This window comes from Homo sapiens, chromosome 12 (genome assembly GCF_000001405.40).
Source record: "Homo sapiens chromosome 12, GRCh38.p14 Primary Assembly".
NCBI lineage: Eukaryota > Metazoa > Chordata > Mammalia > Primates > Hominidae > Homo > Homo sapiens.
The window spans coordinates 110,938,640-110,961,317 of NC_000012.12; the positions used below are offsets into that span (position 1 = coordinate 110,938,640).

Consider the following 22,678-nt stretch of genomic DNA (forward strand, 5'->3'; position numbering starts at 1 on the left):
CATGGTGGTGTATATTTTTGTGTTCTATTTTTAAGCATACACACATACATACGTGTGTGTGTATATTATATGTATTTTTTTTACAAAAATTGGGGTCATACCATCATACGGTTTCATAACCACTTATTTGCCTAATAATATAACAAGGCAATCATTCCATGTCAATAAATATTGATCCACATCATTACTGAAACGGTTGTAGAATGTTCCATCTCACAGATGTTCGGGATTTATTCAACCATTCCCCCACTAATGGGCATTTAGGTGATCTTCCCAATTATAAATAGCGATGCAGCCACCATTCTTGTAAAATTTCTACACTGTCTGAGTATCCAATTATTTCCTTCGGATGTGCTTCTAGAGTGGGAATGTTGGAGCAAAGGTTGTGCACTTTGCTCAACAGTCTGTGAGGCCTGCGTGTTTCTCAAGAGGGTTTGGGAGGGTTTCAGGGGGACCCTATAGCAGCCTGAGAATGTTTCATTTGGCAGGAAATCACCTTTTCTGAAGAGAAATGAGTACCCTACCACATTGCCAGGGCTTGCCTCTGTAGGGCTGGTCGTTTGGGTAATTTTAATTTTCTTCTTTATTCATTTCTATATTGTATTTTCGGTATTGGACATGCATTGCTTTTTGTATTAATTTTTCTAATGAAAGCAATTTTTCTTGTTATAAAAACCAAACACAAGAGAAGTACGTACAGTAGAAAGAAAAGGCCCACATCTCCCCAGAAGTTGCCCGGGTTCATTTTGTGTGTTCACCTGCTAGACATGGTTCAGCTCCTGCATAAGTTTTGTTATGGGAATTTTCCCTCAGTAGGAAGAAAATACTGTCATAAAAATAAAAAAATTTAAATAAAATTAGTATCATGTTACACGTTAAAAAAACCTCCAAAAGGGTTCGTTTAAAACATGATTTCTATTCCTTGCTTTCTTCTTTTTTAAAAAAAAATTATTAATTTTTGATTCTTTTGTAGAGAGAGGGTCTTGCCATTTTGATCAGGCTGGTCTCAAACTCTTGGGCTCAAGCGATCCCCCAGCCCTGGCCTCCCAAAGTGTTGGGATTACAGGCATGAGCCACTGTGCCTGGCCCTTGCTTTCTTCTCTTAACAAGACAGTTGTCCCTTGGCATAGGTGGAGGATTGGCTGCAGGACCCCTTCGTATACCAAAATCCTTGCATACTCAAGTCCCGCAGTCAGCTTGAAAAAAATCCATGTGTAAGTAGATCTGCATAGTTCAGACCTGTGTTGTTCAAGTGTCAACTGCCTATCTTAGAAATTGTTCCCTATAGGGGCACATGGGCTGCCTTGTTCTTTTTCTTTTTTTCTTTTTTTTCTTTTTTTTGAGACAGGGTCTTTCTCTGTCACTTAGGCTTGAGTGCAGTGCTATGATCATAACTCACTGCAGCCTCGACCTCCTGGGCTCAAGTGATTCTCCTGCCTCAGCCTCTGGAGTAGTGGGACCACAGGCACGTGCCGCCATGGTTAATTTTTTTATTTTTTTTTTACTGTTAGAGACAGGGTCTCACTATGTTGCTCAGGCTGGTCTTGAACTACTGGCCTCAAGTGATCCTCCCACCTTGGCCTCCCAAAGACCTGGATCACAGGCATGAGCCATCATGCCCAGCCTGCCTTGTTCTTTTTAATTGATGCAGCAATTTTCATTATGTAAAGGTCACATGAGTTATTTATTTGATCCCCTATGATGGATAGCTGGGTTGTTTTGCCATTAAAACAATGATACATGGAACATCTCCATGCTCTAGTCTATGATGAGAGCAGGACCGGGCTGAGCAGGGCTGAGAGGGCCCACAGCCTCCATCAGGCTCACCTCTCAGCTGCATGACTACAGTAGCTCAGCTAGCCTCTCAGAGCCTCAGTTTCCACATCTGCCAAATGGGTACAATCACAGTTCCCACTTCACGGTTTTGTGAAGATTAAGTGGCCAATGTTTATAAGTGTGTGGCACAGGACTTGCCACATCGTACATTCTCAGGACATTGTAACTAATATTTCTGGTGGGTATTTCCGTCATTTCATTTCCATGAGTGGCTAGCTTGAGAGAAGTCCAACTGTACCAATTTTACAGGTAAAGAAGTTGAAGAAAAAGGGTACACACAAGCCAGGTCACCTAACCCATAACCCATGCATGGCAAAGAACTTGCCCAGGGCTGCACCATGTTCCCCAGCCCACTAGCATCTCCCTTGGTGTCATTCCTTGCCTTGATGAAAGACCCCAGAGGGTCAGGATGGGAACTGAGACCTTGGGCCCATCCCTGACTGCTCTGAGCCACCCACTACTTTACCTTCAGAGGAGGGTTTCAGAAGAGCTGGCCTCTGCCCTTTCAGCCTGAGATCCCACCATGACTGACCCAAAACATCGCGTCCCCTAGAGTGTCAATGTCACATCCTCACTTGAGAACTCCCAGCTCTCCTGGGGGCTGGGGCGGGAGAGCATTGGGGCGGGGCCCCGCCGCCAGCCTCTGTTGCTTGGCTCTGTGGGTGCACGAATGACCTCATTGCCAGGAAAGCTGAGATGTGAGCCCCTGGCACCTGCAGGATAGCATCTGTCACTGCCTTGAGCTGAGCTCCTAGCAGATCTCAACACAGAAGGGATGCACAGGGTTGGTTCCTGGGGAGGTGGAGGTGGGAAAGACAGGCAGGGAATTTTCCTTATTAAAAATAGCTGCCTTTCTTTGAGCGCTTCCCATGTGGCAGGCGCTCGGTTAAGCCTTGGTGTAAATTATGCCTTTTAGTCCTCAGGCCAACCTTGAGAGATAGGCACCATTATTACCACCCTCGTTTCACAGATGAGCGCACTGAGGCTAAGTGAGGTGCTGGGACTTGCTCATGGTGAGGGGGGTGGTGGCCGTGGAATGTGCCACTCTCCCTTCAAGAAAGCACCTCTTTCCTCAAGGTGTTGGTGACAGCTCCCAGTGCCACATCTCCAGATTGACATGGTGTCCATTGACTGCTCCCAGCCAATGACTGGGCACAGCCGGGGTGGGAGAGCTGGGTCACGCCTGCCCAAGACGGGGACAGGCAACCCTTGCTCTGGGCTCCCCATCAGCCTGGGGACTTTCTCAGAGCTGTACTGCAATCTGAGGCTCCTCCTCCCATCTTTTGTCCTTATCATTCCCCTCTCCATTCCCAGGTGTCAGACCAGCATCAGGATCTGAAGGTGCTCCCTCCCCCCTCCTACTCTCTCCTCTTTATCCTTTTCATTTTCTTTTCTTTCCTTTCTTTCACTTTTTTTTTTTTTTGAGATGGTCTTACTCTGTCACCCAGGCTAGAGTTCAGTGGTGCGATCATAGCTCACTGCAGCCTTGACCTCCTGAGCTCAAGTGATCCTACCATCTCAGCCTCTTAAGTAGCTGGGACTATAGGCGTGTGCTACCATGCCTGGCTAATTTTAAAATTATTATTATTATTATTATTTTGTAGAGATGGGGTTTTGCCATGTTGCCCAGGCTGGTCTTGAACTCCTGGGCTCAAGTAATCTACCCGTCTTGGCCTCTTAAAGTGCTGGGATTACAGGTGTGAGTCACAGTGCCCGGCCCTTTCATTTTTTTAATTTTTTGTAGAGATGGGGTCTCACTATGTTGCCCGGGCTGGTCTTGAACTCCTGGGTTCAAGCATCCTCCCACCTTGGTCCCCCAAAGCACTGGAATTACAGGTGTGAGCCACCGTGCCTGGCTTCCCCTCCCCTTTATCCTTCCTAGGTATCTTCCTCAATAAATCTCTTGCAAGTTCACTTCCATCTTGGTGTCTGCTTCCCAGAGGGCTGACCTGGAACTCTGAGGGAACTAGAATTTGAATTCAAATCTTTCTGAGACCGTGGTCTGCACTCTTCATCACTGTGCTATTTGTTAAGCTTAAAGCAAAGGCCTAGGTTTGAGGACTCTCCAGAGAACCAAGAAATGGCCTAGTTAACAACAACTATTATCAAGGCTGTTTGTCTTCTGCCCTGGCTGAATCATGTAATGTCATAGGAAGAGTCCTCAGATTAGTGTAAACTTAAGCAAGTCACTTATCTTCTGGAAGCCTCAATTTCCCAGCTGTGAAAGGAAGATGGCAATGGTACCTCCCTTGAGGGTTGTTACAAAGATTAAATGAGCATAGAGAAGAATTGCAATAGAGAGAACAACAGTGCTGCCAGCAGTTGAAAGGGACACACCCCCTACACACACACACACACACACACCCCCCACAGCCTCTACACTTAGGGCCAAGCCCAGGCGTTGTGGACATGATGGAAACCCCAAGAGATCAGTTAGGATCATCTCTGCCTGTAAACCTCTGATAATCTAGCTTAAACATAATTTATTTCACAAAATAAAGAGTTGGGGGCAGGCAACTCAAAGCTACGCAAAGCATCAAGGAAGCTACCCAAGATACCAGTTTCTTCTAATTTCCTGCTTCATTTTCTTAGGATATGGGACTTCCTTGTGGACATAAAATGGCTGCTGCAGCTCCAGGCCACACATGCACCTTCCAGGTAGAAAGAACTCACTAGGAAAGGCAAGAAGAAAACTGTTCTCCCTTAACAAGAACCTCCCCAGTTTCAGCTTTCTTTGTGGGGTAGTGGAGAGGCAGCATTCAGAGAACCCAGAATCAGACTCTGCTTAGAGAAGGTTGGCTTCTGGGGACATCTTTTGATCATGTCTGCTCAATGTCACCATCTTAAGGCAGGAGGAAGCAACAGAAAACAGGGAAGCAGGTGTCCCAGGAGGAGCCCAATGCCATGGAAAGATGGGAAAAGAGGTGGTGGATGAGATCCTGGATTCTTATAAACTTTATCTACTCCACTTGCACAGATGATGGAGGATTTGAGGAGTGTCAGTGAATGCTCTGTGTGGACTGAACTTGGAGCAGACTGGGGCTGGAACTCTCCAGGGAGGGCAACTTTGACCGAGACATCTTAGGGTTTGCCAAGTCCTCAGCAGATGTTTTTTGATGTGCCTTGAGATCCTCAAATGAGAAGGGCAGTGGGATTCTTCCCTCTCCAGCCAGGACCACATCTGTGCTTTTCTGTAATTGTGTAAAAAAAAAAAAAAAAAAAAAAAGGTCTTCTAAAATTTTCTGATGGAATATATGCTCATAGCCCCGAAAAAGAAAAAAAAAGAAAGATGAGTGTAAGGAAGAAAAAAATTATCTGGAGTTCCACTACCCACAAATGAGCATGGTTAACATTTCTTCTAGACTTCTAATGTATTCAGACACATGCACTTTCCGCCCCCATACTGTACATATTTTCTCTTAATCTGCATCTTTTTCACTTAAAATATGTCATGCACACCTCGGCATGTCAATAAATATAGAAGAATGTCGTCCCTTTTAAAGTTTGCATAGTCCACGGTTGTGCCAGCATTTATTTACGAACCTCCTCTTACTGGGGGTTGTAGGTTGATTTAAACTTTTGTCTGATTATTAGCCATCCTCTATTGCTTGCCCTTGTATGTATTTCATCTGACTACTGTTTTATACTTAATTCCTAATAGTGTAATTGGGGGGTCATGGAACTTTTTAAAAAAAGATTTCATGCATAGAACCAAACTGCCTTCCAGAAAGATGCTAATTTACACGCTCAACAGCTATATATGATATTATCCCACACACCACTAAAACTGCTCACTAGAGAGATTGGATATATTTCCAAATTGGTTTTTAGCCATTTTTATTTCTCCTCCTCATCCTAATTCTTCTTATTTTGCATTGCATGTTTCTATCTTTGCTTATGTTTTTAAAAACTGGCAATATAAAGCCGTTATTTTTGCAAATATTTTTCCAGTGTTCTATTTGTCTTTGAATTATCTTGTTTATTGTGGTAAAATACACATAACATAAAATTTACCCTTTTAACCATTTTTAAGAGTCCAGTTCAGGCCGGGTGCGGTGGCTTATGCCTGTAATCCCAGCACTTTGGGAGGCTGAGGTGGGGTGGATCACTTGAGGTCAGGAGTTCGAGACCAGCCTGGCCAACATGGTGAAACCCTGTTTCCACTAAAAATACAAAAAAAAAAAAAAAAAAGCTGGGTGCGGTGGTGCATGCCTGTAATCGCAGCTACTTGGGAGGCTGAGGCAGGAGAATCTCTTGAACCTGGGAGTGGAGGTTGTAGTGATCTGAGATCACAACACTGCACTCCAGCCTGGGCGACAGAGTGAAACTCAAAAAAAAAAAGAGTCCAGTTCAGTGGCATTAAGTACATTGACACTGTTGTGCAACCATCACCACCATCCATCTCCAAAACTTTCATCACCAAAATTTGAAACTGTGCACCCATTAAACAGTAACTCTCCATTCTCCCTCCCCCAGCCCTTGGTAGCCCTTATTCTACTTTCTGTCTCTATAATTACTCCAGGAATCTCACATAAGTGAAATCATACAATATTTATCTTTTTTGTGTGTCTGGCTTATCTCACTTAGCATGATTCTTCAAGTGTCATTCATGTTGTAGCCTATGTCAGAACTTCCTTCCTTTTTAAGGCTGAATAATATTTCATTGTGTGGATAGACCACATTTTTGCTTATCCATTCATCCATCGATGGACACCTGGATTGTTTCCATCTTTTGGCTATTGTGAATAGTGTTGCTGTGAACATGGGTATACAAATATCTTTTTAAGTCCCTGCTCTCAATTCTTGTGTGTATATACCTGGAAACGGATATCTTTAACTTTTAATGTTGTCTGTGACTCTTTTTGGTATGCAGAAGCTTTACATTTTAAAATACTCATCTATCAATATTTTTCTTATTGCTTTGGCTCTGGGTTCATTTCTATACTATTTTTAGAGACCTCTAGGTAAAGGTTCTATTTATTCATTACTGTGTAACAATGTACCCCATAACTTAGTGGCTTGAAATAAATAATAATCATTTATTTTGGTTGTGAATCAGCAATTTGGACAGGACTTAGTGGGGTCAGCTTGTCTCTGTTGCATGGGGCTTCAGCTGACACAGCTCAATGTGGGTGGGAAGATCCACTTCCAAGATGGCTCACTCACGTGGCGTCTTGGTGCTAACCATTGGTTAGGAGCTCAGCCTAACCTCAGGCATTAGACTGAGAACTCTGGTTCCTCTCCATCTGGGTCTCTTCAAAGGCTACTTGGGCTTCCTCACAGCATGGTGGCTGGGTTTCAAGATTGAGCATCTCAGTAAATCGAGGCAGAAGTATACGGTATTTTTGTGACCTAGCCTCAGAAGTCACATGGTATCACTTTTACTGTACTCCACCAGTCAAGAAAGGCATAAATGCCAAACCAAGTTCAAGTGGGGATGGAACATAGATTCCACCTCTTCATGGAGGAGTTGCAAAGTTCCAGAAGGGCATGTGGGCTGGGAAATATTACTGCAGACATTTTTTGGAAAATATAATGTGCCAAGCTCACTCTCTGGCCACAACAATTCATATCCCTTTCACATGTAAAATACACTCCTCTGAGACCTCCCAGGAGTTTCATCCCATTACAGGATCAGGCTTAGTATCAAGGTCCAGGATTTTATTATCTAAATCAGGTCCAGGCCCACATTATGCTCCTCAGGTATGATACTTTGGGGACAGCTCTTTGAGTACTTTTCTTTTTGACCTGAACATCTGTAAAATAAAGAGCAAATTAACTGCTTCTTACACACTCAACATGCAGTCATGGGTCAGGCACAAGACAACTGTTACAGGCACTCACATTTAAAGAGGTAGAAAACAGGAGGTAAATCACTGGTCCATAACAATTCTAAAATCCAGCTGGGCAAATGTTGCTAAATGTTGCCAATTCCTTGACTGGGACTCAGGATTGTTCCCTAGATATGATTCTGAGTCACTGTTATTTTCCATAAAGTACAGCCATGTTTGCAGCTGAGGGTTTTTCTTGGCTTGCTTCCTACCTATAGAAGTTTGGAAAACCAAAGACCTCATTTTATTTTCTATTCTCTCAGTTCCTTTTAGTTCAAGCAGGCACAGCTTCCACCAGAACAATTCTATTAAAAACACTGTGTGTTTCCTACGAATCTTATTGAGATTCATGCCATTAAAGAAAAGCCAAAATCACAAATCTCTTTGAGATAAGCCCTTTCTACCGTGGGTTCCCATTGAGATCACTGTAGATCAATGCCTTTAAGATCTTAAAAAGGCTTGTCATATAATGGAAAGTGCCTGTGAGGCATGGCCTATAGATCCTTAGAGAAGCTTTTCTGTACTGGAAAGGTTCTATGAGGCACTGCCATAAATCTTTCTTGTGTCTTAAAGGAACTTACAATCCCACCTGGATTCAATATTTGGTCTGAGGCCCTTCCTTTTTTTTTTTTTTTCTGATGGAGTTTTGCTCTTGTCGCCCAGGCTGGAGTAGAATGGCATGATCTCAGCTCGCTGCAACTTCCGCCTCCCGGGTTCAGGAGATTCTCCTGCCTCAGCCTCCCAAGTAGCTGGGATTACAGGTGCGCACCACCACGTCCAGCTAATTTTTTGTATTTTTAGTAGAAATGGGGCTTCACCATGTTGGCCAGGCTGGTCTCAAACTCCTGACCTCAGGTGATCCACTTGCCTCGGCCTCCCAAAATGCTGGGATTACAGGTGTGAGCCACTGCGCCCAGCCATTTCCTTCTTTTTCTTTGCTGTGTCTCTCACCTCTCCATTTTCTAAGTCAAAGTTACTGAAGTAAAATTTATATAGAGAAAAATTTGCCCTTTTTAGGGGTATAGTTCTGTAAGTTCAACAAATGCATATAATTACGTAACTACCACTACAATCACCCAAAAAACTTCCCTTGTATAGGTTTGTAGTCATTTCTATCACCCACCCAGCCCCTGGCAGTTCCTCATTTATTTTCTGTCCCTGAAGTTCTGCCCTTTTCAGAATGCCATATACAGGGAATAATGCAGTATGTGAGTAGAATCCCATTGTATGGATATTCCATAATTTGTTTATCCATATTGGTGGATACTTGTCTATTACAAATAAAGCTGCTATGGACATTGATGCTTACAAGTCTTTGTGTGGATATATGTTTTTGTATTTGTTTGCTATGGGTGCTATAACAAATCACCACAAACGTAGAGGCTTCAAACAACACAAATTTATTATTTTATAGTTCTGGGGGTCAGAATTTTAAAATGAGTTTCACTGGGATAAGATCAAAGTGTCAGCACAGCTGCATTCCTTCTGGAGGCTCTAGGAGGAATCTATTCCCTTGCCTTTTCCAGCTTCTAGAGGCCACCTGAATTTATGGCTTGTGGCTCCTTCCTCCATCTTCAAAGGCAGCAATGACAAGTCAAGTCTTGTCACATGATGTCACTCTCACACTCACTCTTCTGCCTCCCTCTTTCACTTATAGGGACCCTTGTGATGACATCAGGCCCACCTGGATAATCCAGAACAATCTCTCCATCTCAAGATCCTTAATCTAATCACATCTAAAAAGTCTCCTTTGTCATGTAATTTAACATGTTTATGGGTTCCAGGGATTAGGGCATGGACATCTTCAGGGGCCATTATTTTGCCTACCACAGCTTTCTTTTCTCTTGGGTAAATACCTAGGAGCAGAATGGCTGGATCCTGCAGCAGGTGTTTAACTTTTTTAAAAAAATTGCCAAACTGGTTTCCAAAGCGCTTGTACTATCTTACATTCCCATCAGCAATGTACAAGAGTTCCAGTTCCTCCACATTCTTCCCCAGCATTTGGAATGGTCAATATATTAGATTCCAAGGGTTGCTGTAATTAATTGCCACAAACTGGGGGTCTTAAAACAAGAGAAACGTGTTTTCTCACAGCTCTGGAGGCCAGAAGTTTAAAGTCAAGAGTCAGCAGGGTTGATTCCCTCTGGAGGCTCTCAGGGAGAGAGCTTCTTGCCTCTTCCAGCTCTGGTGGCCACAGATATTCCTGGGCTTATATATACATCACTCCAATCTCTGTCCCTGGCTTCACATGGCATTCTCTTCTCTGTGTGTCTCTGTGTCTTCATGTGGCCTTCTTAAGGACAACAGTCAGTCAGTAGATTTAGGGCCTACCCTAATCCACTATTACCTTGCTTTAACTAATTATCTGAAAATATCTTATTTCCAAATAAAGTCACATTCTGAGGTTCCAGTGGACATGAATTTGGAGGCGACCCTATTCAACTCAGTATAGCCAGTCTTTTAAATTTACCATTCTAATAGGTATGTAGTAGTGTCTCATTGTGGTTTAAATTTGCATTTTTGTAATGACTAATAATGCTAAACAACTGGTCATGTGTTTATTTGCCATCTTGTTTGGTGAAATGTCTGTTCAAATCTTTTGCCCATTATAAAAGCTGGGCTGTTTATTTTCTTATTATTGAGTCTTGAGAGTTCTTTATGTATTGTGGATACAAGTTTTTGTTTTTCTTTAATTCAGATGTGTAACTTGCAAACATTTTCTCTCAGTCCATGGCTCACATTTCCATTCTCTTAAAAGAGTTATTCAAAGAGCAGAAGGTTTTAATTTTGATGAAGATCACTTTTTCAATTTTTTTATGGCTCATGCTTTTGATAGTGTGTCTAAGAACATCCCGTTTGCCTAACCCAAGGTCACAAAAATTTTCTTTTTTTTTTTTTTTTTGCCATTGATTTATCTTTATTATAGTTTAATGGAACAATTTGATAAGAAGACATATCTAATATAGCTTAGATGAACAGCTTATACAGGTTCAGTATCCCTTATCTGAAATACTTTGGACCAGAAGTGTTTGGGCAGATTTTGGAATATTCGTATTATGCTTATCGGTTCAGCTTCCCTAATCTGAAAATTAAAATTCAAAATGCTGCAGTGAGCATTTCCTTTGAACAACATGTTGGGCCTCAAAAAATTTCATATTTCCAGTGTGTGTAGATGGTGTCACCTGGGGCTTGAGTGGCTACACATGAGTATCAAAGACAATGGCCAAGAACAAATTAAGTGGGCAGAAGTATAGGAATGTATTCACATTGCCGCCAAAAAAACTTTAAAGCTAAAAAGAAAGTAAAACCAGTTACCACTAATTTTTTTTTTTTTTTGAGACAGAGTCTCACTGTGTTGCCCAGACTGGAGTGCAGTGGCACGATCTCGGCTCACTGCAACCTCCACTTCCCGGGTTCAAGCGATTCTACTGCCTCAGCCTCCCGAGTAGCTGGGACTACAGGCACGCACCACTGTGCCCAGCTAATTTTTGTATTTTTTTAGTAGAGACGGGGCTTCACCATGTTGGTCAGGCTGGTCTCAAACTCCTGACCTCCTGATCCACCCACCTGGGCCTCCCAAAGTGCTGGGATTACAGGCTTGAGCCACCGTGCCCAGCCCAGTTGCCACTATTCTTTTTTTTTTTTTTTTAATTTAATTTAATTTAATTTTTTTTTTATTGATCATTCTTGGGTGTTTCTCGCAGAGGGGGATTTGGCAGGGTCATAGGACAATAGTGGAGGGAAGGTCAGCAGACAAACAAGTGAACAAAGGTCTCTGGTTTTCCTAGGCAGAGTGTTTGTGTCCCTGGGTACTTGAGATTAGGGAGTGGCGATGACTCTTAGCGAGCATGCTGCCTTCAAGCATCTGTTTAACAAAGCACATCTTGCACCGCCCTTAATCCATTTAACCCTGAGTGGACACAGCACATGTTTCAGAGAGCACAGGGTTGGGGGTAAGGTCATAGATCAACAGGATCCCAAGGCAGAAGAATTTTTCTTAGTACAGAACAAAATGAAAAGTCTCCCATGTCTACTTCTTTCTACACAGACACAGCAACCATCCGATTTCTCAATCTTTTACCCACCTTGCCCCCTTTTCTATTCCACAAAACCGCCATTGTCATCATGGCCCGTTCTCAATGAGCTGTTGGGTACACCTCCCAGACGGGCTGGTGGCCGGGCAGAGGGGGCTCCTCACTTCCCAGTAGGGGCGGCCGGGCAGAGGCGCCCCTCACCTCCGGGACGGGGCGGCTGGCCGGGCGGGGGGCTGACCCCCCAACCTCCCTCCCAGACGGGGCGCTGGCTGGGCGGGGGGCTGAGCTCCCCACCTCCCTCCCGGACGGGGCGGCTGGCCGGGCGGGGGGCTGACCCCCCCACCTCCCTCCCGGACAGGGCGCTGGCTGGGTGGGGGGCTGAGCTCCCCACCTCCCTCCCGGATGGGGCGGCTGGCCGGGCGGGGGGGCTGACCCCCACCACCTCCCTCCCGGACGGGGCGGCTGGCCGGGCAGGGGGCTGACCCCCCCACCTCCCTCCCAGACGGGGCGGCTGGCCGGGCAGAGGGGCTCCTCACTTCCCAGTAGGGGCGGCCGGGCAGAGGCGCCCCTCACCTCCCGGACGGGGCGGCTGGCCGGGCAGGGGGCTGACCCCCCCACCTGCCTCCCAGACGGGGCGGCTGGCCGGGCGGGGGGCTGACCCCCCCACCTCCCTCCCGGAAGGGGTGGCTGCTGGGTGGAGACCCTCCTCACTTCCCAGACGGGGTGGCAGCGGGGCGGAGGGGCTCCTCACTTCTCAGACGGGGCAGTTGCCAGGCAGAGGGTCTCCTCACTTCTCAGACGGGCGGCCGGGCAGAGACGCTCCTCACCTCCCAGACGGGGTCGCGGCCGGGCCCAGGCGCTCCTCACATCCCAGACGGGGTGGCGGGGCAGAGGCGCTCCCCACATCTCAGACGATGGGCGGCCGGGCAGAGATGCTCCTCACTTCCTAGATGGGATGGCGGCTGGGAAGAGGCACTCCTCACTTCCCAGGTGGGATGGCGGCCGGGCAGAGACGCTCCTCACTTTCCAGACTGGGCAGCCAGGCAGAGGGGCTCCTCACATCCCAGACGATGGGCGGCCAGGCAGAGACGCTCCTCACTTCCCAGACGGGGTGGCGGCCGGGCAGAGGCTGCACTCTCCGCACTTTGGGGGGCCAAGGCAGGCGGCTGGGAGGTGGAGATTGTAGCGAGCCGAGATCACGCCACTGCACTCCAGCCTGGGCACCATTGAGCACTGAGTTAACGAGACTCCGTCTGCAATCCCGGCACCTCGGGAGGCCGAGGCTGGTGGATCACTCGCGGTTAGGAGCTGGAGACCAGCCCGGCCAACACAGCGAAACCCCGTCTCCACCAAAAAAACACGAAAACCAGTCAGGTGTGGTGGCGCGCGCCTGCAGTCGCAGGCACTCGGCAGGCTGAGGCAGGAGAATCAGGCAGGGAGGTTGCAGTGAGCCGAGATGGCAGCAGCACAGTCCAGGTTTGGCTCAGCATGAGAGGGAGACCCTGGAAAGAGGGAGAGGGAGAGGGAGTGGCTCGGCATGACAGCGAGACCGTGGAAAGAGGGAGACAGAGGGAGAGGGAGGGGGGGAGGGGGAGGGGGAGGGGGAGGGAGAGGGAGAGGGAGAGGGAGAGGACAAAAATTTTCTTTCTTCAGGAATCTTTGTAGTGTTGTATCTTTACATTTAGATCTATAAGCTGTTTTGAGTTAATTTTTACATATAAGATGTAGAATGCCTGCTCTCACCCATTCCTATTCAACACTGCAGTCGGTGTTACAGCCATTTTGATAATGCAAGGCAAAGACATAAAAGGCATTAACATTGGAAAAAAGGAAGTAAAATTTGCACATGATATGATAATCTTTATATAAAATCTGATGATTTTCTAGTAATTGAGAACTAGTAATTGAGTTTAGCAAGGTTGCAGGATACAAGATCATTATACAAAAATCAATCACACTTCTAAATCCAGTCAAAAACAACTAGAAATTGGAATATTAAAACACAATACTATTTACAATAGCATCAAAAGTAAAAAGTGTTACGGGATAAATCTGACAAAAAAGTGATGAAATACTTCTAGAGTAAAAACTACAAAACACTGCTGAAGGAAATTTAAAAAGAGCTAAATAGGTGGAGAGATATATCCTGTTCATGAGTTGGAAGACTTGGTATTGTTGTGATGGCAATTTCCCCCCAAATTGAACTATAGATTTAATGCAATTCTGATCAAAGATCCCAGAAGGCTTTTTTTTTTTTTTTGGTAGAAAGTGATGTTTATTCTAAAATTCATAAAGAAAGACAAAGGACTTAGAAAGCCTTTGAAAAATAATAAAGTTGGAGAACTAACACTATGTGATTTCAAGACTTATTATAAAACTACAGTATTCAAGGCAGCATGGTATTGGTATAAAGACAGGAATATAGATCAATAGAACAGAATACAGAGTCTATAAATAGATCCACACATAAATGGACAACTGATTTTTGACAAAGTTACAAAGGCAATTCAGTGGAGAACAGATAGTCTTTTGCCCACTTTAAATAGGGTTGCTTTATAATAACACGGAGTTTCCTTTCAAAATTGAGTTTTGAGAATTTTTTTATCTTCTTATTTTGGAAACCATTCCTTTATAACATATGCATTTTGTAAATATTTTCTCCCAGTTTCTTGTCTTTTCATTTTCTTAACCAAGGCTTTGAAAGAGCAGAAGTTCTAAATTTTGATGAAGCCCAATTTATCAGCTTTTTTCTTTTATGATTTGTGTTTTTGTGTCCCACATGAGAAATCTTTGCCAAACTTGAGTCACAAAGATTTTCTCCTATGTCATCTCCTGAAAATTTCATAGTTTTAGGTTTTACATTTAAGTCTATGATCCATTTAAAGTTAATTTTCGTACAGGGAGCTAGGTATGAACTGAGGGTTGTTTTATTTTGCATATAATGTCCATTTTTTCTAGCCCTCTTTATTGAAAAAGACTTTTTTCTATTGAATTGCCTTTGCACCTTAGTTGAAAATCAATTGACCATATACGAGCAGGTCTATTTCTGGATTCTCTGTTCTGTTCCATTGATCTATGTGACTATCCTCTCACCAATACCACACTGTCTTGATTACTGTAGACTTACTTTATAGTAAGTCTTGAAATCAGGTAATAAAAGCCTGAGGGCTTTTCTCAGTTTGAGAAGTTTTTGCCATCTAGAGAAGCTAGGAACGAAAAATAATTTTGTTTTCAAGTCCAGCAGATCCTGGCTCCTTTATATTTAATAGCTTGTTTTAGTTCGTTTCTTTCCTTTTACATTTTATCATAGGTAGCAAGAAAAAGCCAGATAACACTTTTAATATTCTGCTATAACAGTGAGTTCACTGGATACATGTCTTCTTTCTATGTTACCGCAGGTGACAAACTTTCCACCACCACATAACAAAGATCCCCTTTCTTCCAGTTTCTAATAACGTTTTTCTTAATTCGGCACTAACATCCTTCTCAGGACTCTACAAGCTTTTAGTATGTCCAAGGCCCTGCCGAGGTCTCTGATACCTGGATCTGGCCCACAGCCTCTTGCACAGTTACAGTCAAATGGAGCTGGTGCTGGGCTAGCAGGGGGCAGCTGGGTGTTCCTGAGCCTCTCTCTCTCTGCATGGAGTCTCCGGGCTCTCTGTGCAGTCACTCTGCATAGGCTAGTTTGGGCTTCCTCACAACATGGCAGTCTCAGGTTGGCCAAATTGCTTACATGGAGGCTGTAGGCTTCAAGAGTGAGTTTTCTAGGTCACAAGGAGGAAGCGGCACCATCTTTTCAGACTTAGCCTTGGAAGTCACCTATGGATGGAAGCCACTTCCACCATACTCTATTGCTCCAGGCAATCCCAAACTCACCCCAATTCAAGGAGAGGGGACAGCGACTCTTACCTCTTGACAGTAGAGTGGCAAAGTACTAGAAGAACGTTTGGGAATACGAGATATTTTGTGGCCACCTTTGGAAAATACAATCTACCACAATAAGGAAAACCCTTCATTTAGGAAAAATTGTTCTTAATGCATAATTTTAAAAATCTCTCACGTCCCATAATTATTTAATGCATTTCCTCTTTTGTTGTTCTTGAAGTTTCCTCTGGGGATTTAGCTATCAAAACCAGAGGTATGCTGGAGGTAGCTCACACTGGCTCATGAAAGCCAATTGTTAAACTTTTAGAAATTTTGCAAGCTAGTTGTTAAACAGCAATTATTTTAAATTAAATTATATAACACTCAAAGAGATTAAATTAAAAACATATAATAAATGATGCACTACTCATTACTTTCTGATTATTTTATAAATTTTGCTATTATCTATGCTCTTGAGATTAAAGTCTATTGTATCTATATGGTGGAAATAATGTATAATGTTGGGTCACTCACTGTGCCTCTCTTTCCAACTTCACATTCAGTGACTCTATCTTGTTAGCTTGAATATAGCCATGGTGGGAATATTTACACCATGAAAATAGACAGATGCTACCAATCAGGGCTTTGGCTGATTGTCTAGACCTCAGAAAGAAATGAAGAAAATGTTATAATACAGATTAAATTTTAAAGTGTGTTGTGTTATACCCATTACATTGTGAACAGCAATAAAAATTGGAGTAAATATTCTTCCAGTATTAAAAACTATTATCCAATTTAGCAAAGAAGTTGATGGCTGAGTCAAGTTTCAACATATGTCTTCATTGTCTCACTTTCATTTTACTCATTAATGGAAATGAAAAATCAGCCAACATTCATGTTGGAAATACACTCATGGTTGGGGTGCAACTCCATTTGTCAAATCATGGTTGGCTTGCAGCTCGGATAACACAGAGAGACCCTATCTCTAAAAAAATTTTTTAAAAAAATCATTAGCCTGGCATGGTTGGTGGGCACCTGTAGTCCCAGCTACTGAGGAGGATTCCTTGAGCCCAGGAGTTCAAGATCAGCCTGAATTATATCAAGATCCCATTTCAAACAAATGAAGGAAGGAAGGAAATCATGGTTAACTTGCAATTACAGATAGATAATAGCTACAGAGATTGGCAAAACTAAATGAAACTTTATTATTATTTGCAAAATTTGCACCACACATCCTTTAAATCAGTAAAATTCATCACACAAAAAAGTATGTATGTACATGCATACATGTATACATTTTTTAAGAGATGGGAGCTTGCTATGTTGCTCAGGCTGGTCTCAAACTCCTGGCCTCAAGTGATCCTCTTACCTTAGCCTCCCAAAGTGCTGGGGTTACAGGCATGTATCACTATGCCTGGCCTACAATTTTTTTAGGACAGCTGGTTGCTACTAGCCTGCCACTGATCAAAACCCACCACTGAAAGAATGACAGTTTTCATTTACTGAGAAGTTCGTGAATGTTGGAAAATAATAATAGCTAATATTCATTGTGTGCTGTTCTAAGCCCTCTACATGTCTCATCACATTTAATCCTCACAAGAGCCTGCGAGGTGGGTACTATTATTAATACCATTTTCAAGATCAAGAAACTGAGACACAGAGGGGTAGAATAACTTGCCTAAGGTCACAGAGCTGAAAAATGACAGAACCAGGATTTAAAGTCATGAAGACTGAATCCAGAGTCTGTGTTCTTAGCTCCTGCTCTGTGCTGTTTCTCCAAGGGTAACGTGCTATCTTGGAAAGGCATAAAATAATTTTAACGATTCTACTGACAATAAAATAGCTAATTTTTGGCTGGGCGCAGTGGTTCATGCCTGTAATTTCAGCACTTTGGGTTGCTGAGATGGGTGGGCTGCTTGAGACCAGTAGTTTAAGACCAGCCATGGGAAACATGGTGAAACCCTGTCTCTACAAAAAAAAATACAAAAAATTAGACAGGTATGATAGCACACCCCTGTAGTCCCTGCTACTCACGAAGCTGAGGTGGGAGGATTGCTTGAGCCTGGGAGGTTGAGGCTGCAGTATGCTGTGATTGCACCATTGCACTCCAGCCTGGGTGACAAAGCGAGACCCTGTCTCAAAAAAAAAAAAAAAGCTATTTTAAAAAAATGAATTACTTTCATTGTGTCAGGCTCTGTGCTAAGAGATTTGCATGTTCTGTCATTTAACTTCCAAATATACAATTTCTGCTACTATCCCCATTTTACAGGACAGGAAAATGAGACCCACAGAAGTTCAAGTCACCAGGCCAGTTATTGTTGGGCTAGCACTTGAAGCCAGGTCTGCCTGAATTTAGGGCCTCAGCTCTTTCCCACGCATTTTTAGCCCAGAACCAAGCTGTTCATAAAAGGTGTGCCTGCAAATAGGAAACTAGAGAGCATGGGCCCTCAGAGAGAGCTCTGAACCCCATCTTCGACCTCGAACCTGTCCTTGGACTGAACCTGTCTTTAGGAGGTCTGCCCATACGGATGAATCTGGAGCAGAGGCCGGGCTCAGCAGGAGAGCTTCACAAAACTGAGATTCGATGAAGCAGAGCCCCGTTTTAAGGGCTGCACAAATCCACCCGGAGCCTTCCGTGTTCTCTCTCTCTCCAACAGCCTCCCTATGAGGAGCAACTGTAGGGACCGAGAGACAATAGCAGGCTGGGCCATGGGGAGGGATTTTTTTCCCGGGATCTCAGTGGAGATGGGGAGGTAGAGTGAGGGAAGGAAGCAGCCAGGCAGAGAGGCGCGGGGCTTTATTAATTAATTGAGGGAGAGACGTAATGGAGGGTGGAATCCACAGAGGGAAAGCGGGCTCCATCTCGAGTTTATGGGTCATTTTTCTGGTGGCAGTTCAGTTGCCCCAGAGAGGATAGCACCTCGGTCTGTCGCCTCCTGACAAGCACTAGGGGCCCTCAAGGCAAGTGGGATGTACCCCACTTCTGGCCTGCAATAGAAAGAACTCCCTTCCCGGATTCCAGGCGCGCTGGCTTTGGCCACGTGGAATGGTCATGGTGGGCTGCACTGGGAACCACATTGCAGGTTCGAATCCCAACTGCACTGTGTAGGAGCTGCGTGACCTTGAGTGAATTGGTTGACCCTTCTGTGCCTCAATCACCTCCCCTGTGAAGTGGGAACAACAGTACCTTCCTCGTAGAGTTGGGACGAGGATTAAATGCTTGAAATGATGCCAGTCCCACAGTAAAGCTTTCGGCAAAGGATGGGATTATTGGACCTGGGAAGGAGAAGACAGGTGCCTCAGTTTACCACGGATTCCACATGTGACCCAAATGCCAGCATGGGGGAAAGGAGACGTCTCCTTACCCCTTAGGCCTGGACAGTAAGTGGACTCCATCAATTCCACAGCCTGCCAATTTCTGGTAAATTCCTGTGTTCTTTTCTCCTCCACGGCCTCCTTCATCCACCATCTCTGCTCCTCCATGGGTACCTACGCAGACCCCAGAGACATCCCAGGGTCCCTCGGACACTCGCAGCTTCAGTTTCCCAGCATTGATTGCACTGCTCTGGGGAACAGTGCCCGTCCCTCCCCAAGGGCCCGAGGGCTTCTGGGAAGTGACATCCTCTTCCAGGGGTGGGGCCTGTGGCTGAGGTCTGAGCCAATCAGGATAATCCCTACCCCTTGGCTACAGTGATTGGCCCAAGGATGGGCATGTGACCTGAGCTTGTTCATCGGAATAAAGATGAATGTTTTCTACAAATTGAGGGAAGAGACTCCTTTGCTTGCTGGTCTAAAAAAAGGAATGATCTTTCTCCAGGTGCTGCTGACAGCCATCGTGTGCTGCGGAGGAAGATTGCCTGAGAATGGAGCCATTCAGGAGGAAATGGGGCAGAGAAATAAAGAGAAATCAAATCCCATCTTTTCAGTCCCGCTTCCCTCACTCCCTCATCCATTCTTCCTGGCAGACTATTCAGTTGTGCTTTTTAAGATTTATTCTGTTTTTGTTTTTCACCTAAGACGGTTTAGCTTGTTTGTTTTTCTCTTGTTTGCAACCAGTGTGTTCTAGCGGTTATTACGAATTTAATAGACTTTATACAAGATTTTGTAAAGGGCAGAAAACTCAAGATTGGACAGTGACTTTCTCCTAGGACACTATCTTGCCGGTGCCCTCACCTCAGTCTCCACCCTGGATCTCCGATTTTGTCCCTGAAACTTCAAATTCTTTTCCTTCAATTATACAATGCAGCAGCTCTCCTTTCAGTAGTGCTACTTTGTACCCTACCCTGGGGAAGAGGTAGCTCATATTCGAACCTGAGCTCTTGGCAAGGTCTTTTTCCAGATCTAAGGCAGTTCCCTTCCTAAGGGAGAGTCAGATGCCACTGAGGAGAGAGAAAGGTAGTCGGAGGGAATGTTATGGCAGACACTGTGGTTGCTCACTAATGTAACATCCCTTCTCTTCTTCCTTGCTGTAAGGACTCTAATCTTGTTCCGGGATTTAAGGAAGGTGGGTTCAGCCTCTGGCTTAGAGGATGGGCATGTAACCCAGTCTGACCAGCAAGGTATAAAGGTCAATTTATGGGCAGTCTGGGAAAGTTTTTCTTCCCCGATAAGAGGAAAACATAAGGGGATCTCTCTGCTCTAAGCCTCCAATTACTTCCTTCTCCAAAAGCAGTTATGTGAGGATGTGATGCCTGGAGCTGTGGAAGCCATTTTGTGACCATGAGGAGAAAGCCAAGAGAATAACAGAGACACTATCCCAATGTCCTGAGTATTGTTCAGCTATGAAACTAACCCTGGAAACTCCTTGGGCCACATAGTAGATATTTTAAGTTTTGCCAGCCATATGTCTCTGTCATGACTACTAAACTCTTCATTTATATCGTGACAGCAGCCTTTGACAATATGTTAACAAATGGATGTGACTATGTTCTGAGAAAACTTCATTTTCAAAAACGGGCTAAGGGCCAGATTTGCCCTGTGTGCCACTGTTTGGCACAACCTGTATTTTTGGCCATATTAGCTGGATTTGCAGTTACTTGCACTCAAAGCATTTCTAACAGAGCATGTATGGGCTGCCCTAGAGGGCAGTCTCTCACCCCAAACACAGCTGTGCTCACAGGCTCAATTGCCACTTGCTGGAAGCAACAGCTTATTTTCTTCTGTCTACCAACATTCATTCACTCAACAAACGTCTATTGAGTGCCTACTCTGTGTCAGGAACTGTTCTGATGCTGGGGCTAAAATAGGAGATGTTGAACCCTTTCCTTGGGGAGTTCTCTTTATATAACATTGGGAATCAAGAAAGCCTTCCTAGAGGAGGTGATAACTAAGTTAGCTCTGAAGGGTGAATAAGAGTTAGGAAGATAAAGGGCAAAACATGTGGGCCTGGGCGGGTAGGAGGGCATTCCAGGCAAAAGTAAGAGGGGACATGGCGCATATGTGATTAGAAAATGGAAAATGAGGGAAAGAGTGGAGGAGAGTGAGGCCAGAGAGGTTAAATGAGACCAGATCACATGTGAGCTGGTAGGTCATTGGTTTTCACAGTGAGATGGGGCGATTGATTGGAGGTCTTTGAACAGAGGGGGACATCAACCACTGACAGCTGCCTGGGCTAGGGTGATGAAGAGGTCATGAACAGGAGATGGCCTTGAGAGATTCCAAGGGGTAAAATAGGACTCGAGGATAAAGCAGATGAGGGAAGTGTCTAGGATGACATGCAGGGTTCTGATTCTTAACTATTTTGTTGTATCTCTAAAGAAATAGACATAGAGCAGAGGAGAATTCAGAAAGTTTTTTTTGTTTGTTTTTGAGACAGAGTCTCACTCTGTCATCCAGGCTGGAGTGCAGTGGCGAGATCTCGGCTCGCTGCAACCTCCACCTTCCAGGTTTATGTGATTCTCCTGCCTCAGCTTCCTGAGTATCTGGGACTATAGGCACCCGCCACCACGCCTGGCTAATTTTTGTATTTTGAGTGGAGACGGGCTTTCACCTGGTCTCAAACTCCTGACCTCAGGTGATCTGCCCGCCTTGGTTTCTCAAAGTGCTGGGATTACAGGCATGAGCCACTGTGCCCAGCCCAGAAAGTATTTTTGAGGCCTTTGTGCAGTGGCTTTATCAGAAACAAAGGAGCAAAAAATAGACAGGAGCTTGGGCTCCTACCTCATAATCAAGTTTTGCCTTGCATTTGTCCCAGAAAATTCACTGGATTAATTGGACTTCAGCACAATTGTCTTAATTTATAGCATTAAGTAAAATCTATATATGTCAAGATGCAAAGTGCAGGAATGTAATGGGGACTGTCACAGAGGCTGCTACATCTGCAGTATTCTTTCCTAACTGCCTAAGACCATGGGGGAGGACATGGTCTAAGAGCTATGCAGGAACTAGGAAGGGACCTGGGCCTCGACCAAAATTACATGAGAACACCATGTGTGCCAGGCAGTCCCTGAGTCCAGGGACTATTTTACTAACGACTAACACTCTACTCTACTAATCTATTTTAAAATTTCATTTTAATGGTTATCAAAATACTGCAGATACATTGATTTTTTTAAAAAAAAGTCAAACAGTCCTTATATTTGCTATGGATTGCACATGGCTGCAAGTAACAGAAAACCCGGTTGCTGGTAACATAAACTATAAGAATTGATTTTAATATTTTTGTGTTATTCACAACCAGAGGTCCAGACGTGAGCAGTTTGTTAAGTGGCTCAACAGCATCAGGTCAGATGTGTTTCCATTTTCTTGGCCTTTCCCTCATGATCACAAGATGGCTGCTGCAGCTCCTTAAGTCATCAATCACATCTGTGTTCCAGGCAGAAGGAAGGTAGCAAAGACTTTCCCAGAAATCCCCAGCAGGTTTCTGATTGTGTTATTGGCAAGAGCTGTGTCTTAATTACCCCCAGCTGCAAGGGAGTTTAAGATGGTGAGAGTTTTTCTTTTTTTTAGCTTTTCAGCCTGTATAGTAGAAAGTCAAGATAAAGGAGGTTGGGATGGGTGTCAAGTGGTCAGTATCCACCATGGTCCCCGTTCCCTGTCCCACCTCTCCTTATCCTGAGTTCTCACTCTCCTGAAGTAATTCTCTTCCTCCATTTTTCTAAATAAAATGTTTAT

The 22,678-nt window shown here is 44.4% G+C and overlaps 1 long non-coding RNA gene across 2 annotated transcripts, besides 1 other annotated feature; it reads right to left on the bottom strand.

Moving 5' to 3' along the window:
* Positions 13,044-19,179, bottom strand: LINC01404 (long intergenic non-protein coding RNA 1404). Of its 2 annotated transcripts, none has more exons than NR_135002.1 (4): positions 18,931-19,179; positions 18,753-18,841; positions 17,600-17,697; positions 13,044-13,203 (listed from the first exon to the last, which is right to left on the bottom strand). It is a non-coding gene; the product is annotated as a long intergenic non-protein coding RNA 1404 (long non-coding RNA). The 2 variants fall into 2 exon arrangements; NR_135001.1 differs by having other exon boundaries at positions 17,600-17,701.
* Positions 18,362-19,561: an enhancer, noted in NCBI's record as "BRD4-independent group 4 enhancer chr12:111394805-111396004 (GRCh37/hg19 assembly coordinates)". NCBI's record gives its function as "activates an origin of replication core promoter dependent on BRD2, P300/CBP, MED14 and CDK7 cofactors, and independent of BRD4, by STARR-seq in HCT116 cells {active_cell/tissue: HCT116}" and the evidence as "EXISTENCE:reporter gene assay evidence [ECO:0000049][PMID:35650434]".